The 15,379-nt window shown below is 47.6% G+C and overlaps 1 long non-coding RNA gene across 2 annotated transcripts in view, besides 5 other annotated features; it reads left to right on the top strand.

Annotated features, from left to right (window-relative positions):
• The window catches only part of EPCAM-DT (EPCAM divergent transcript), a 152,670-nt gene that overhangs the window by 21,210 nt on the left and 116,081 nt on the right, over window positions 1–15,379 (top strand). The gene's annotated exons all lie outside the window — the stretch shown is intronic.
• Window positions 260–419: an enhancer, noted in NCBI's record as "active region_15730". NCBI's record gives its function as "activates an Ori minimal core promoter by ATAC-STARR-seq in GM12878 lymphoblastoid cells {active_cell/tissue: GM12878}" and the evidence as "EXISTENCE:reporter gene assay evidence [ECO:0000049][PMID:35858748]".
• Window positions 401–695: a silencer, noted in NCBI's record as "tiled regions #1090 and #15339; K562 Repressive DNase unmatched - State 8:EnhW". NCBI's record gives its function as "represses a minimal TATA promoter and a strong SV40 promoter by Sharpr-MPRA in K562 cells {active_cell/tissue: K562}" and the evidence as "EXISTENCE:reporter gene assay evidence [ECO:0000049][PMID:27701403]".
• Window positions 401–695: an enhancer, noted in NCBI's record as "tiled regions #1090 and #15339; HepG2 Activating DNase unmatched - State 25:Art". NCBI's record gives its function as "activates a minimal TATA promoter and a strong SV40 promoter by Sharpr-MPRA in HepG2 cells {active_cell/tissue: HepG2}" and the evidence as "EXISTENCE:reporter gene assay evidence [ECO:0000049][PMID:27701403]".
• Window positions 12,744–12,813: an enhancer, noted in NCBI's record as "active region_15729". NCBI's record gives its function as "activates an Ori minimal core promoter by ATAC-STARR-seq in GM12878 lymphoblastoid cells {active_cell/tissue: GM12878}" and the evidence as "EXISTENCE:reporter gene assay evidence [ECO:0000049][PMID:35858748]".
• Window positions 14,074–14,263: an enhancer, noted in NCBI's record as "active region_15728". NCBI's record gives its function as "activates an Ori minimal core promoter by ATAC-STARR-seq in GM12878 lymphoblastoid cells {active_cell/tissue: GM12878}" and the evidence as "EXISTENCE:reporter gene assay evidence [ECO:0000049][PMID:35858748]".

Genomic DNA, 15,379 nt, shown 5'->3' with positions numbered 1-15,379 from the left:
AAGGAGCACTCCTTATCTTGTCCTGGATGGAGTCAGCACCCTGAGCCTTCCCTTCAGATCCTTGTTATAGTCTGCAATTACGTATCTGGGTGATTGTTTCATTAATGTCCTTCTCCCAACTAAATAGTCAGCTTCCTTTTTGTTGGCCATGGTATCTGCAGCCTAGCACGGACCCAGAGGCCTGGACGGTGCCCGCTAAGTGTTTGTGGAATGGCTTCCTTCCTTGTTTTGCCAAGGGGTGCCAGAATGTGCCACTGGCATTTGCTTTTCATTTACACTATTCTTGTGGCTAGGGTGGAGTGGGTTGGAGGTCATGGCCATCTCTAGAGAGCTGTTCCAAGACTACTTGAGCTTGTGTTTTCTTCCCAGCCCAAGATTCAGAATCCACTGGCCTTGAGTTCGCCCTGTCCTGGGGACAGTGGGACCTGTCACCTGCTGGCCAAGGTAGGGCTCCAACTTTGTGAAAAGTACATGCGGCAGGTCTGACCCTTAAACAACTCTTCTGACGTGTGGAATGCAGGGCTGGGTGGGAGCAGCCGGCACACCTGTCATTCACTGTTTAGCCACTGAAGGGCAGTGTTGCTCCACAGGAAGGGGCCAGGCAGATGTGCGCCATCACTGTGGCTCCCAGGTCGGAATGAGGATATTTTAGCTAGTCCCTACCAAGCACCACTGGTGTGCTAGTCACTTTGAATATAGTACTCGTGCAATCATGCAAGAGAAAGTTGATGACCCGTAGTGTAGTGTGGTGTAGTGTGGTGTAGTGTAGTGTAGTGTAGTGTAGTGTAGTGTAGTGTAGTGTGTAGTGTAGTGTAGTGTAGTGTGTAGTGTAGTGTAGTGTAGTTTTTGAGACAGGGTCTCACTGTTGTCCAGGCTGGAATATAGTGATCAGGGCTCACTGCAGCCTTGACCTCCGGGGCTCAAGTAATCCTCCCGCCTTAGCCTCCCAAATAACTGGGACTACAGGTGCACACCACTACACTTGGCTAATTTTTGTATTTTTTTTGTAAAGATTGGCGGGGGGGGGGGGGTCTCACTGTGTTGCCTAGGCTGGTCTCGAACTCCAGGGCTCAAGTGATTCTCCTGCCTCAGCCTCCCAAAGTACTGGGATTACAGGTGTGAGCCAGCACACCCAGCTGACCCTTATTTTAAAGATGAAGTAAAGAAAATCGGAGAGATTAAATGATGTTTTCAATGTTTCATGACTAGTAAATGGCTAAGCCAGAAATCAACCTCAGGTCTGCCTAAATCCCAAACCCCGTCAGTGCCTTCACCTGCTCTCCCTTTGTCACGATGGCCAATCTTTTCTAGCATGTCTTCCTAGCAGCCACCTGCCAGGGTAGTGCTGAGTGCACAACCTTGTCTCACTCAGCTGGCTCAATTTAGCCAACTTTTGATTACCGAAATTAATACAGGGGTCACTGACTTGGGTCTAAAATTTTAAAATGGGTTATTAAAATGCTTGCTTTGGCCAGGCGCAGTGGCTCATGCCTATAATCCCAGCACTTTGAGAGGCTGAGGCAAGAGGATCATTTGAGGTCAGGAGCTCGAAACCAGCCAGCCAACATGGTGAAACCTAATCTATACTAAAAATACAAAAATTAGACAGGTGTGGTGACACTCACCTCTAGTCCCAGCTGCTCGGGAGGTTGAGGCAGGAGAATCACTTGAACCCAGGAGGCAGAGGTTGCAGTGAGCCGAGATTATGCCACTGCACTCCAGCCTGGGTGACAGATTGAGACACTGTCTTGAAAAACAAAATAAAATAAAATGCTTGTTTTGATTCTAGAGACTGTTATTCGGTATGCATGGGATAGGGGGAGGAGGGAAAACAGATTTGTCCTTCCATAGTCCTCTCTCTGATCTCATTCTGCAATCTTTCCTCCCCCTTCCCCACCCAGCCCTCACACAGCTGCCAGGCAGCTTTCCAACAGATTTGATCAGATGGCTCTCTCACTACTGTACTGGGCCCCCTGTAGCTTCTGGAAGAAAGTCCCACTCCTTAGCAAGCAGCCCAGGTGCTTCCTAAGCTGCCAGCTACCTTGCCGCCAGACTTCTTCCCCACTGGCTTACGAGGGTGCACTGTCAGCCCCAGCCCCCTGAGCCACAGCATTCAGTATCTAAAGCTGTAATCTCTCCACTGCAGAGTGAGAATGAAGATACTGGCCACCCAGGTGGTTGTAAGGCTAAAACCACCACCTTTAAAGATCGCTTGGCACAGTGCTGGCCACAGTGGGGCTCATCACCACGTTTCTCACCTTCCCTTCCTCAGCCCTTGGAAATGTGCAAGTATAGTACAACCTACAAAGGCAAATCCATGTGGTATAGTGCTCTGCACAGTGCAATCCCTGTGTAAACATTTCTAGACACAGAAATGTCAGCTGGGGCATTATTTTGCTCAGGCTGACACTGAGGAAGACATTTCCTGGATTTTTTTCCTGTGCCCATGGTGAGGTCCAAAGTGACCCAAATACCACCTAAATCCCTGGATGCTAAACTCCTTGAGGGCAGAGACAGAGTTATGAACCTCTGGGTCTCCCCATAGGTCCAACCCAGCACTAGGTCTTCAGTGGCGTCTCTAAGAATGTCAGTTGGTCAATTTGTTATTCAATGGGCACATGACAAGTTGCAGGAGTGCACAGGTGCTTTCAGGGTATCATCATCTCAAACAGAAACAGCATTGTTTCAAAGAGCCTGTAGGAGTCCAGAAGAAATACAGGACTTTCTTCTTCCTTTTGCAAAAGCTGGCAGTTTAAAGCCACAGGGCATTAGATCAAGAATGCCATGAGGCTGACCAGTGAGGGGCTTGACTTTGAGGGCTCTGGGCTGGTTGGGCTGGCCATGCTTACACTTGGAAAGCAGTAGGACCCATTCCCTGGTTTTGAGCATTCAAAGTAGCCTTGGCTTACTCTCTGCTCTGAGTTCTCACTTCAGTCTTCCTATTCTGAGGTTCAAAGAACTGCAAATAGTCCTCAGACAAAGCCTGTGGGGTGTCTCCCCAGATTCCAGGAACTCTCCAAATCAGATAGACCAGGATTATGAAACTCAGCCTCTTCTATGAAGGGTCCCACTGGATCCCATAATAAGTGGGAATTCTACCCTCAGCCCAGACTCTCCGGACTCCAGCCCAATCTCAGTCTTAACCTCAGGGTTCCAGCTTTCCTCCGTCCATTGCCACATCAAACTCACCTGTTCTGGGTTTGCATGTCAGGTACATTTTCTGATCAATATGCATTTGCCTATTCCTATTCTGTGACTAAGGTATTCCTTGGGTATTGATGGGTCTGCCTGCGTGTGTTCTCAAATCTAAAGTCATCAGCTACCCTTTGAACATTGTAAGCATGTTATATACAGGTTATTTTTGCCTTTAGTTATCTCAGTAACATTATATTCCATGTTATATGGCATTTAAACTATCTGGGTGGTCTTGTATATAATACTTTACTTCCTTCAGAACCACAGGAAAAACTAATTGCTATTACTTCTGTGAGAGATGGGGATTCTCAAGGGACTTGCCCGTCAGTTTACAAAGTAGTGATGGGGCTGGGCGTGGTGGCTAATGCCTGTAATCCCAGCACTTTGGGAGGCTGAGGCGGGCGGATCGTTTGAGATCAGGAGTTCCAGATCAGACTGACCAGCATGGGTAAACTCCATCTCTACTAAAAATACAAAAATTAGCTGGGTGTGGTGGCGCATGACTGTAATCCCAGCTACTCAGGAGGCTGAGGCATGAGAATCACCTGAACCCGGAGGCAGAGGTTGCAGTGAGCTGAGATTGCACCACTGTACTCCAGCCTGGGCAACAGAGGGAGACTCTGTCTCAAAAAAAAAAAAAAAAAAAAAAAGGAGCAAAGCCTCTGGCTCTTGTGTCAGCAGTCTCACCAGCCAGGGCTCTGTTTGTGTTCTGTAGTAGCCCCCACAGGGCTACAGGCGAATATATTGCAGTTGCAGCCAGTAAGGATGATGCAACTGAGAAAGGCTGGCGGGCAGGTGGGTGCAGCCGGGGATGGCCAGGGATAGCCAGCCAGGCAGGGAACTCCTGAGCTGAGACTGCTGAAAGATGGATACTTCTGGGCCCCAGAAACAGCTCTTGGCTCCCAAATACCCTCTCAGCTTCCTGAAAACCTCTAAATAGCTAGGCGCAGTGGCTCATGCCTGTAATCCCAGCACTCTGGGAGGCTGAGGCAGGCGGATCACTTGAGACCAGGAGTTCAAGACAAGCCTGGCCAACATGGTGAAACCCCATCTCTACTAAAAATACAAAAATTAGTTGGCCATGGTGGCACGCACCTGTAATCCCAGCTACTCGGGAGTCTGAGGCAGGAGAATCACTTGAACCCAGGAGGCAGAAGTTGCAGTGAGCCGAGATTGTGCCATTGCACTCCAGCCTGGTCGTCAGAGTGAGACTCCGTCTCAAACAAAAAACAAGAAACAAAAAACAAGCCTCTAAATAGGGAATAAATCTTTACAGTTCAAGTTGACAGACCTGGGTGCAAATCCCAGCTGGGCTCCTCACTGGCTGTGTGAACTTGGGCAGGATACCTAACCTCTCTGAAATTTTGTTTAATCATATGTTTTTTAAAAATTTTTAAATTTTTAATTTATTTTTATTTTTGAGACAGTCTCACTCTGCCATCCAGGCTGGAGTGCAGTGGCGCCATCTTGGCTCACTGCAACTGGCACTTCCCGGGTTCAAGTGATTCTCCTGCCTCAGCCTCCCAAGTAGCTGGGATTACAGGCATGTGCCACCGTGTCCAGCTAAATTTTGTATTTTTAGTAGAGATGGGGTTTCATCATGTTGGCCAGGCTGGTCTCCAACTCCTGGCCTCAAGTGACCCGCCTCCCAAAGTGCTGGGATTACAGGTGTGAGCCACTGCGCCCGGCCTTGTTTAATCACATGCTGGATGGTGATTTAAATAGTATCTATAGGTTGTGAGGATTAAATTTAAAAATAACATAATAGGCTGATCACATTTTCTGGCTTATACTACTCAACAAGTCGTTGTTTATTGTAAATATGCTGATGGTAGGGTTATGGTGTTTTTTATGTTTTCTTTTTGCTTCTTTGGGTTTTCAGCAAATTAACATGCCTTGCTTTTGTAGTAAAAACGAAGAAAAGATAATTTTATCTTTTGAGATGGAATCTCTCTCTGTCGCCCAAGCTGGAGTGCCGTGGCCTGATCTCAGCTCACTGCAAACTCCGCCTCCCAGGTTCAAGCCATTCTCCTGCCTCAACCTCACAAGTAGCTGGGATTACAGGTGTGTGTCACCACGCCCGGCTAATTTTTGTATTTTTAGTAGAGATGGGCATGTTGGCCCAGGCTGGTCTCAAACTCCTGACCTCAAGTGATCCACCTGCCTTGGCCTCCTAAAGTGCTGGGATTATAGGCATGAGCCACGGTGCCCAGCAAAAAAAGATGATTTTTAATAATAAAATGTAGGCTGTGTGCGGTGGCTCACATCTGTAATCCCAGCACTTTGGGAGGCCGAGGCGGGTGGATCACCGTGGTCGGGAGTTCGAAACCAGCCTGACCAACGTGGAGAAACCCCGTCTCTACTAAAAAATACAAAATTAGCCAGGCGTAGTGGTGCATGCCTGTAATCCCAGCTACTTGGGAGGCTGAGGCAGGAGAATCACTTGCACCAGGGAGGCTGAGGTTTTGGCGAGCCAAGATCGAAGCATTGCACTCCAGCCTGGGCAACAAGAGCAAAACACCGTCTCAAAATAATAATAATAATAATAATAATAATAATAATTATTATTATTATTAATACCCAGACAGGGAAAAAGAAGCTATGATTAAAATTTATAACAGAGGCCTGGTGCAGTGGCTCACGCCTATAATTCCAGCACTTTGGGAGGCCAAGGCAGGCGGATGACTTGAGGTCAGTTTTGGAGACCAGCCTGGCTAACATGGCAAAACCCCATCTCTACTAAAAATACAAAAATTAGCTAGATGTGGTGGCCCATGCCTGTAATCCCAGCTACTTGGGAGGCTGAGGCAGGAGAATCACTGAGCCCAGGAGGTGGAAGTTGCAGTGATCTGAGATCGCACCACTGCACTCCAGCCTGGGCAACAGAGCAAGACTCTATTTCAAAATAAAAAGTAATAGTAATAATAAAATAACATTTATGCTGAGACTTAAATAAGGGCAGACTCTTTCCGAGGAAAAATGTAGAACTTGCATTTATTAAGTACCTTTAATTTAAATAATTAGCACAGCAACCCTATCAACCAAGTATGATTATATCAGCTAAATATCTTTATCCCCATTTCATAGATGAGGAAACTGAAGCTCAAAGGGATTTTATAATTGGCCCAAGTTCACAGAGTTAGTGAGGAATTAAATTCAGATTGTCTGATGGTGAAGTCTATAGTTTTTCTAACAACTCTTTGGCCTAACTTTAAGGGGTAGCATGGGAACGGGATGAAAATGAGATGGTGGAGGGAGGAAGGGAGGGAGCACAGGAAGGGAGGGAGCACAGGAAGGGTGGAGCCAGGGCCATTGGGCATTTAAAAGGTTAAGTGGGGCTGGGTGCAGTGGCTCACGTCTGTAATCCCAGCACTTTGGGAGGCTGAGGTGGGTGGATCACCTGAGGTCAGGAGACCAACCTGGCCAACATGGCGAAACCCCATCTCTGCTAAAAATACAAAAATTAGCTGGGGGTGGTGGTGCACGCTGGTAGTCCCAGCTACTTGGAAGGCTGAGGCAGGAGAATCACTTGAACCCGGGAGGTGGAGGCTGCAGTGAGCTGAGATCGTGGCACTGCACTCCAGTCTGGGCGACAGAACAAAACTGTCTCAAAAAAAAAAGTTAGGCCAGGCGCAGTGGCTCACGCCTGTAATCCCAGCACTTCGGGAGGCCGAGGTGTGTGGATCACTTGAGGTCAGGAGTTCGAGATCAGCCTGACCAACATGGTGAAACTCCATCTCTACTTTAAAAATACAAAATTAGCTGGGCGTGGTGGTGCATGCCTGTAATCCCAGCTACTTGGGAGGCTGAGGCAGGAGAACCTGTTGAACCAGGGAGGCAGAGGTTGCAACGAGCCGAGATCGCGCCACTGCACTCCAGTCTGGGCAACAAGAACGAAACTCCATCTCTAAATAAATAAATAAATAAATCAGGGATAATAATGGCACCAACCCACATCACCATAGGTTTGTCAAAGAAAAACTCTGAGGCAAAATCTTCAGAAAAGGAAGGCAACAAATGACTTGCGAAGAGTGCAAGAGTTAAACTTCAGGACTGACCCTCCAAATATAAAAACATAACTGTAGCATTTCAGTAAAACAAACAAACCCTCAAGACCACCAGAGCTAATATAATCGGTTGAATGGTGGCCCCCGAAAAGATACGCCCATGATTTAAGCCCTGGAAGCTGTGACCTTATTTAGAAAAAGGGTCTTTGCAGATGTAATTAATTTAAGGATCTTGAAATGAGATCCTCCCGGATTATTGACATGGGCTCTAAATCCAATGACAAGAGTTCTGATAAGAGGCAGAACAGGAGAAGACAAGGGCGACAGAGGAGAAGGCCGCATGAAGACAGAGGCTGAGATGGAAGTGATGAGGCCACAGACAAGAAATGCCTGGAGTCACCCACCAGAAGCCAGCAGAGGCAAGGAAGGAGCCTCCCCTAGACACTTCAGAAGGGCATGGCCCAGCCAACACCTTGATTCTGGACTTCTTGTCTCCAGAACTATGAGAGAGTAAATTTCTGTTGTTTCAAGCCACCAAGTTTGTGCTAACTTGTTATGGCAACTGGGAAACTAATATAGTTTACATTTGTCTGCCCATTATGAAAAACAATGACTTTCTCACATGATTACTACATTTACTAAGGCCACGACATCTTTAGACACCAGCATAACAAAAACTAGGGACAGGAATTTTTGTTGTTGTTGTTTGTTTTTTCAGAGCAGGGTCTCGCTCTGTCACCCAGGCTGGAGTACAGTGGTGTAATCTCGGCTCACTGCGGCCTCAACCTTCCGGGCTCAAGTGATCCTCCCACCTCAGCCCCTCAAGTAGCTGCCCGGCTATTTTATTATTATTTTTTAAATTTTTTGTACAGACGAGGTTTCACTGTGTTGCCCAGGCTGATCTCAAACTCCTGAGCTTAGGCAACCTGTTCACCTTGGCCTCCCAAAGTGCCGGGATTACAGGCGTGAGCCACCATGGTTGGCCAGGAATTGTATTTGTTAAGGAGTCTAAAGTTCACTGACAATAATCAAGGTTTTATTATTCTGGGTACAACAACTAGTTGGAGTTGAACCTGCTAGTTTTGGTTTATCTTGGGTTGCAAAATATTTTGTTTTTGTTTTCCTGACAATGGCATACTAAATGTTTGCTAACTTTGGAAGCAGGGCAATTTTTTGCTTCTACAGATTGTGATGTGATTAAACAAGTTGGTCAATGTAAATGCCCTTAGAACAGCTGGCACTAGTAAGCATTCTGTGTGTTGGCTGTAGTTGTTTTTCTTCTTTTTGTTTACCTGTTTGTTATAAACTTTCTGCAGTGGGTATTTGTGCCCATTTTTTCCTAGTTCAAATGCTCACTCATATTAAGACCTAGGCCAGTTATGGTCAAAGAGCCACAAGTACTTGAACCAGTTTCTCTAGGCCCCAGCTCAAGAGACTCAAGTTAACGGACCCTGCTTAATCCCACCTCCTTCATAGCTCTGGGACTCTGTTTCATCCCTCTAGGTGCCAGTAGCTGTCTTTTTAATAATAAAGATTTATTTATTTTTTATTTATTTATATATTTTTTACAGACGGAGTCTTGCTCTGTGGCCCAGGCTGGAGTGCAGTGGCATGATCTTGGCTCACTGCAACCTCTGCCTCCTGAGTTCACGCCATTCTCCTGCCTCAGCCTCCTGAGTAGCTGGGACTACAGGCACCCGCCACCACGCCTGGCTAATTTTTTTGTATTTTTAGTAGAGATGGGGTTTCACTGTTCTAGCCAGGATGGTCTCGATCTCCTGACCTCGTGATCCGCCCGCCTTGGCCTCCTAAAGTGCTGGGATTACAGGCTTGAGCCACCGCTCTCGGCTATTTATTTTCGAGACAGGGTCTTGCTCTGTCACCTGGGATGGAGGGCAATGGTGCAATCCACAACTCACTGCAGCCTTGATCTCTTGGGCTCAAGCAATCCTCCTGCCTGACTCCCGTGTAGCAGGAACTTCATGTGCCACCACACTCAGCTGATTCTTGATTTTTAATTTTTTTTTTTTTTTTGAGACGAAGTCTCGCTCTTGTCCCCCAGGCTGGAGTGCAGTGGCGCCATCTCGGCTCACTGCAACCTCTGCCTCCCAGGTTCAAGCGTTTCTCCTGCCTCGATCCCCTGAGTAGCTGGGATTACAGGCGCCTGCCACCACAACCGGCTAATTTTTGTATTTTTAGTCAAGATGGGGTTTCACCATGTTGGCCAGGCTGGTCTCAAACTCTTGACCTCAGGTGATCCCCCCGCCTCAGCCTCCCAAAGTGCTGGGATTACAGGCATGAGCCACCGTGCCCAGCCAACTTTTAATTTTTTTTTTGTAAAGATGGGGACTTGCTTTCTTGCCAGACTGAAATTGTTTGTGTTTGTTTGTTTGTTTGTTTGAGATAGGTCTCACTCTGTTGCCCAGGCTGGAGTGCAGTGGTACAATCTTGGCCACTACAGTCTCCACCTTCCAGGCTCAAGTGATCCCCCAACCTCAGCCACCTGAGTGGCTGTGTACCACCATACCTCATTACTTTTTGTATTTTTTGTAGAGACTGGGTTTTGTCATGTTGCCCAGGCTGGTCTTGAACTCGTGGGCTTAAGTGATCCACCCGCCTCAGCCCCCCAAAGTGTTGGGACTACAGGTGTGAGCCACTGTGCCCAGCCAGAAAATTTTGTTTTTAGAGAAAGGCTCAGGAGTGTGGCTGAGTGTTGGACAGCCCCCTACTGGAGCAAAGGCAACCAAGCTCTCAGTGGTCCCAGTGGGAGAGTAAGAAGGGTGGGGAGCAGCTGGGGTGAAAGGATACAGTCAGCATTCATCAAGGGATGTGCTGTGAGCAGGGGTGGAGCTCCATGTAACCCCCAGCTTTCCCACAGAGAGAGACTGAGGACAGAGGATATGCAGTTACCTAAGGGGCAGCTCAGTCATGGGGTTCAGATGTGACCAGTGTGTGCATGAGCCCAGAGGCCAGGAGCACAGTTGTGAGAAGGCTGGAGCATGGCCTGGGATTAGAGGGGCTGTCCCTCTGACTGTACAGACAGTCAAATACCTACACCAATCCAGGAAGTTCATTCATTCATTCCTTTATCCAGCAAGCATTTCATTCATTGAGTCTGCAGATATTTATTGAGCACCTACTATGTCTCAGTTCAGGCATTGAGGGCTATAGCAGGGAACACAACAGAGAGAAGTCCCTGAGGAGTTTATCTCTAGTTGGGGAGACAGATGGCAAACAAAATAAACAAGTAAAATTTCCAGTGGGTTAAATAGTGATGAGCGCTAAGTAGAAAAACAAAGTAGGGAGGAGGATAGGAAATGTTGGAGAGGGAGCTGTGATATTAGCCCCATGGAAGTCCTCACTGATAAGCTGACGTTTGAGTCAACACCCAAGAGAGGGCGGTGATGGAATGAGTCATGCAGGTGTCTGGGGAAACATGCATCGAGCTTCCTAGGAAGCACAGCCTCCACGGGTAGGAGTCGGGGGCCCAACCCTGGTAAAAATCCAGTGGAAAGCCACAGGAGGAACAAGCACCTGGGTTGGGTTTTTCACCTTGCAAAGGAATATACAAAATGTTCCCCCTTGTGTGTGTTTATAAATGAAAACTGAGGATCATGATAAACTACATTCAGTAAAGAACAAGACACGTGATTTCAAAATCTGTACCAAACTTCATCTCCTTTCTTCTAAGAGATTATTTGTATAAATTATAGATCATAGCATAGAATGGTACTTTGGTAACCATCTGGTGTTCATGTTTTGAACTTGCCAGATGATTAGAATCCACCAGGATGCTAGGTTTAAAGATACAGATTCCAGCTCCCTGTCCCCACCCCTGATTTAGGGAAGGGGCCTGTGACTTTGTATATTTAACAAACACTCAAGGTTATTCTGTTACAGGAAAGTCTGGGAGACACAGATAGGTTTCAAAATGAGGAAATAGAGGCCCAGATAGAGGGAATGTCTTGCTCAAGGTGGAACTGGTCAGTCAGGCAGAACTGGGAATAACATCTAGATTTCCCAACTCTGTTAGGCCAATGAAAGTTTTTTGCACAGCACAAAGATCACTTATGAAATTTAAGTTCAAGATACAACAAGACACAAAACATAAAAGCAGATGCCAGGCCAGACATCTATTAGGAGCACCAGATGTACCTGGGACGAACTGGTTACTGTGACTGATCACTAAACTCAGCAACCAAGGGCTCTGGCAGCCAAGTCTGCAGCAGAAATGGGTTGGGTTATTCCATTCCATTCATGGGGTCCAATAAAGTGATGCATAATAATTTCATTTGATAAGAAAAGTTTTTTCCTTTAACAAATTTTAAAATCTTCCAAACCCTCAGCTTCCTATTATGATAATTACAAGAGAATACGAAAAATAAGGATGGAAAAAAAATGGTAAAAGGAGAGATCTATCCTGTCCCAGTGAGAATGATTTCTTCAGTATAATTTATCTCCTGTGGGTAGTCTGGAGTCTCCACCCTCTCATAGGCCCTCAATGACTATGTGTTTGAAGGGCCTTCAGGATAGACTTCTTGAAAACAGATCTTTCTCTGATAGTGCCTAACATTCTTCACAGTGTGGGCCATGAGGCCTGAAAAGGACAAGCACGGTGAGACCCATGGCGAGTTGTAGGACCCTCTGGGCCTTTGTGGCCCACCTGGGAAGGGGAATGTATTAGTCTGTTCTCATGCTGCTAATAAAGACATGCCCATACTGGGTAATTTATAAAAAAAAGAAGTTTAATAGACTCATAGTTCCACATGGCTGGAGGCCTCACAATCATGGAGGAAGGCGAGGAGCAAAGGCACGTCTTACATGGCAGCAGGCAAGAGGGAATGAGAGCCAAGCGAAAACGGTTTCCCCTTATAAAACCATCAGATCTCATGAGACTTATTCACTACCATGAGAGCAATATGGGGGAAACTGCCCCCATGATTCAATTATCTCCCACCGGGTCCCTCCCACAACACGTGGGAATTATGGAAGCTACAATTCAAGATGAGATTTGGGTAGGGACACAGCCAAACCATATCAGGGAATAATAAAGCCATAACCTCCTGAAGGGGGTGGGTGTGATGCCCTCCTGAGCCCCTGCAGCTAGAGCATCTGTGACGCACTGCCCAGCTAGTCTGGGCAGGAGCAATGTGTTGGAGTTTGTGCACATGTGTGTGTGCTGGGCGTGCGATGAGCACCCTGCCACACATGTGGGAGCTCAGATGCCACACTCTTCCAGAGCTGTGCCACAGTTTGACTGATCTGTGACTGCAACCGCTCCAGCAAAGCTGGACTCTTGGGGAAAGAATTTTCTCTTCCCAAGCTTGCTGTGTGGGCCCGTGGGGAGACACACAATTGCCTTTGTCATTTGTTCTTCCTGTGTGGGGACAAAAGCCCTTTCACTTGCTGTGGAATGTACAAGAAGTTCTGTGCCGAAGGGCTGCCAGGCGCTGGCCTGGAATCCGACAAACAAGGAGGAGTTGGGGAGATGGCCGTTTCAGCCTGAGGCCCCCCACCTCCTGGTCCTGCCATGCATCTGTGTGGTCGGGGACTGCCAAGAGGGTCCCCACCGTCTGCTTCTTCACCACTGTGTGCACCTGCATCACTGCCACAACCCTGTCTTAATCATGGCCTGAGACACTGCAGCCTGCCACAGGCGGGCACTGTGCCAGGCATGGGTTTTGTCAACTCATTCAACCCTCCCAACGAATGCTGTTATTCCCACTTTGCAGCAGAGGGAACTGACCTTCAGAAGGGAGGGTCTGGGAGGACAGTGCTGAGACTGAAACAGAGGGGCTGGGACATGGTAGGAGGAACAGGACACCACAACCCCTCACCCTGCACTCACAGCTCTAGGGCAGAATGGAGCCTCAACCCTGGGTGTTTATGCTGTGAGCTGAAGTTTAAGCAAAACAAAAATAGAGAACTTAGGTGGGGTTGGGGTGGGGGTAGAACCCGCCAACACGAAACGTCATCGTGGTACAAGTGGCCTTTTCTCATTGCTATTTACATCCCCGGGTGTTTCTATCAGCCCAGAGCCAGAGACTCACCACAGAGCAACCTGTTGCCAGAATGCTGTGGGGGCTGCGCTATTTTAGGAGCAAAGTTTTCCCAGGTGGCTATATTGTCTGCATTTTTCTCACCAGGGTAGGACAATTCATAGAGCCACTAAAGCCAACCACAGTGTTGAACTCTGCTCTAATTTTAAAATGTAAATGAGCAAGCACCAATGGGAAGTGGCCAGGAGCAGACCAGGGCAATCAGCTCCCAGGGGAGCCCCAAGCGTCAACTCCCAGGTAGGGGGTAAGGGTGAGGCCTGCTGGGTGGGGAGTGGACTAATACAGAGGGCTGGGAAAGAAATGTGTGTGTCTAAAAGCAATTTGCATTAGGCCTTTCAGAGCCCAAGTCTGTGGGTTGGCTTGCACAATCTTGCAATCTTACAAGCAAGAGAGGAAGAAAGGAGAGAGGGGAGCCAGGGGAGAAGGGTGTGGGGATCAGACAGGCTTTTGTATGTGATCTTGTTTAAGCAAGACTCTTATCAAAGAGTAATCCTAAACTTTGCGCTTTCTTATCACCCAGCTCCCTGGGGAATGGGTAGGTGACTTTTGAGTTCCACAAGGGAGGATTAATTGCCTGTTAGAGATCAGAGCTCCAAGTAAGCAGATAAGGTTGATAGAGGTGGGTGGGGTGTGGTGGTTTACTTATGTCCCGTGGAGATGTTCTTTGCTCTTATTATCTAGATTCACGTTTTCTGTGCACAAGCCGAACACTGAGGGCTGAGGAGAAAGCTGCCGTCTAGTGAACAGAGCAGCATTGGAGGGTGTGCCTGCTCTGTGCCCCATGCTGCAGATGCTGAGCAGGGGTTGGGATATCAAAGAATGAAGGAATGAGCCATGCTGCACTGTTCAAGAAGGTCCAGTTCTGTGGTGGTTGTGTGAATACAGGACATTCTTTTCTTTCTTTTTTCTTTTTTTTAGACTGGGTCTCATTCTGTCACCCAGGCTAGAGCGCAGTGGCAAGATCCTCAGGCTTCCATAACAACTGTGAAAGTACTGACTGAGTAGTTAAGTTAAATATTAAAAGCTGAAAGGGCCAGTGCCCTTATACAAAGACTGGAATGTAACAAAAGCCCACCAAGAGTTTTGCCTAGGCCTTTCCTGGGCCTTAAAGCGTGACAAAATAATGGAGGAATTCTTAACAGGATCCATTTAGGATTAAACAAATTTTATTGGGGGTCTGAAGAGACTCCCCAGGCCTCCACAGACAAGTTTATTGGGGTCCTGAAGGAACTCCCCAAACGTCTGTGATTTAGCAGGAGACAAGAGTAATCAGCTGGGCACAGTGGCTCATGCCTGTAATCCCAGCACTTTGGGAGGCTGAGGCGGGTGGATCATCTGGGTGGATCACCTGAGGTCAGGAGTTTGAGACCAGCCTGGCCAACATGGTGAAACCCCGTCTCTACTAAAAATACAAAAACTAACTGGGCGTGCTGGTGCACACCTGTAGTCCCAGCTACTCGGCAGGCTGAGGTGGGAGGATCACCTAAGCCTGGAAGGTCAAGACTGCAGTGAGCTGTGATCGTGCCACTGCACTCCAACCTGAGTGACAGCAAGACACGGTCTCCAAAAATAAAAAATGAAAAAAAAAATTTAAAAAGTTTAGTGAGGAAAGAGTGTAACAATTGTTGTGTATCAGTTCTCCACATGTCTCCAAAATTTGGCTCCAGAATTCTGACTTTCAGTTGAGGCTAGAAGGTGGCAGGATAAGCCGGGCATGGTGGCTCACACCTGTAATCCCAGCACTTTGGGAGGCCGAGGTGGGTGGATCATGAGGTCACGAGTTCGAGACCAGCCCGGCCAAGATGGTGAAACACCGTCTCTACTAAAAACACAAAAATTAGCTCGGCATGGTGGCATGTGCCTGTAATCTCAGCTACTCAGGAGGCTGAGGCAGGAGAATCGCTTGAACCCGGGAGGCGGAGGTTGCAGTGAGCCGAGATCGTGCCATTGCACTCCAGCCTGGGTGACAGAGCGAGACTCCATCTCAAAAAAAAAAAAAAAAAAAAAAAAAGAGAAGGTGGCAGGGTATAGCCTTATGTCCTTGTGGGGTCACTTTGAGGGATTGAGGGAGGAAGTCTTTGCCCATGAGAGTAAAGGGAGAAGCTTCCGGGAGAAGCT

This window comes from Homo sapiens, chromosome 2 (assembly GCF_000001405.40).
Source record: "Homo sapiens chromosome 2, GRCh38.p14 Primary Assembly".
NCBI lineage: Eukaryota > Metazoa > Chordata > Mammalia > Primates > Hominidae > Homo > Homo sapiens.
Note: the sequence above shows the minus strand (reverse complement) of the source record. Positions and strands in the feature narration are given on the sequence as shown.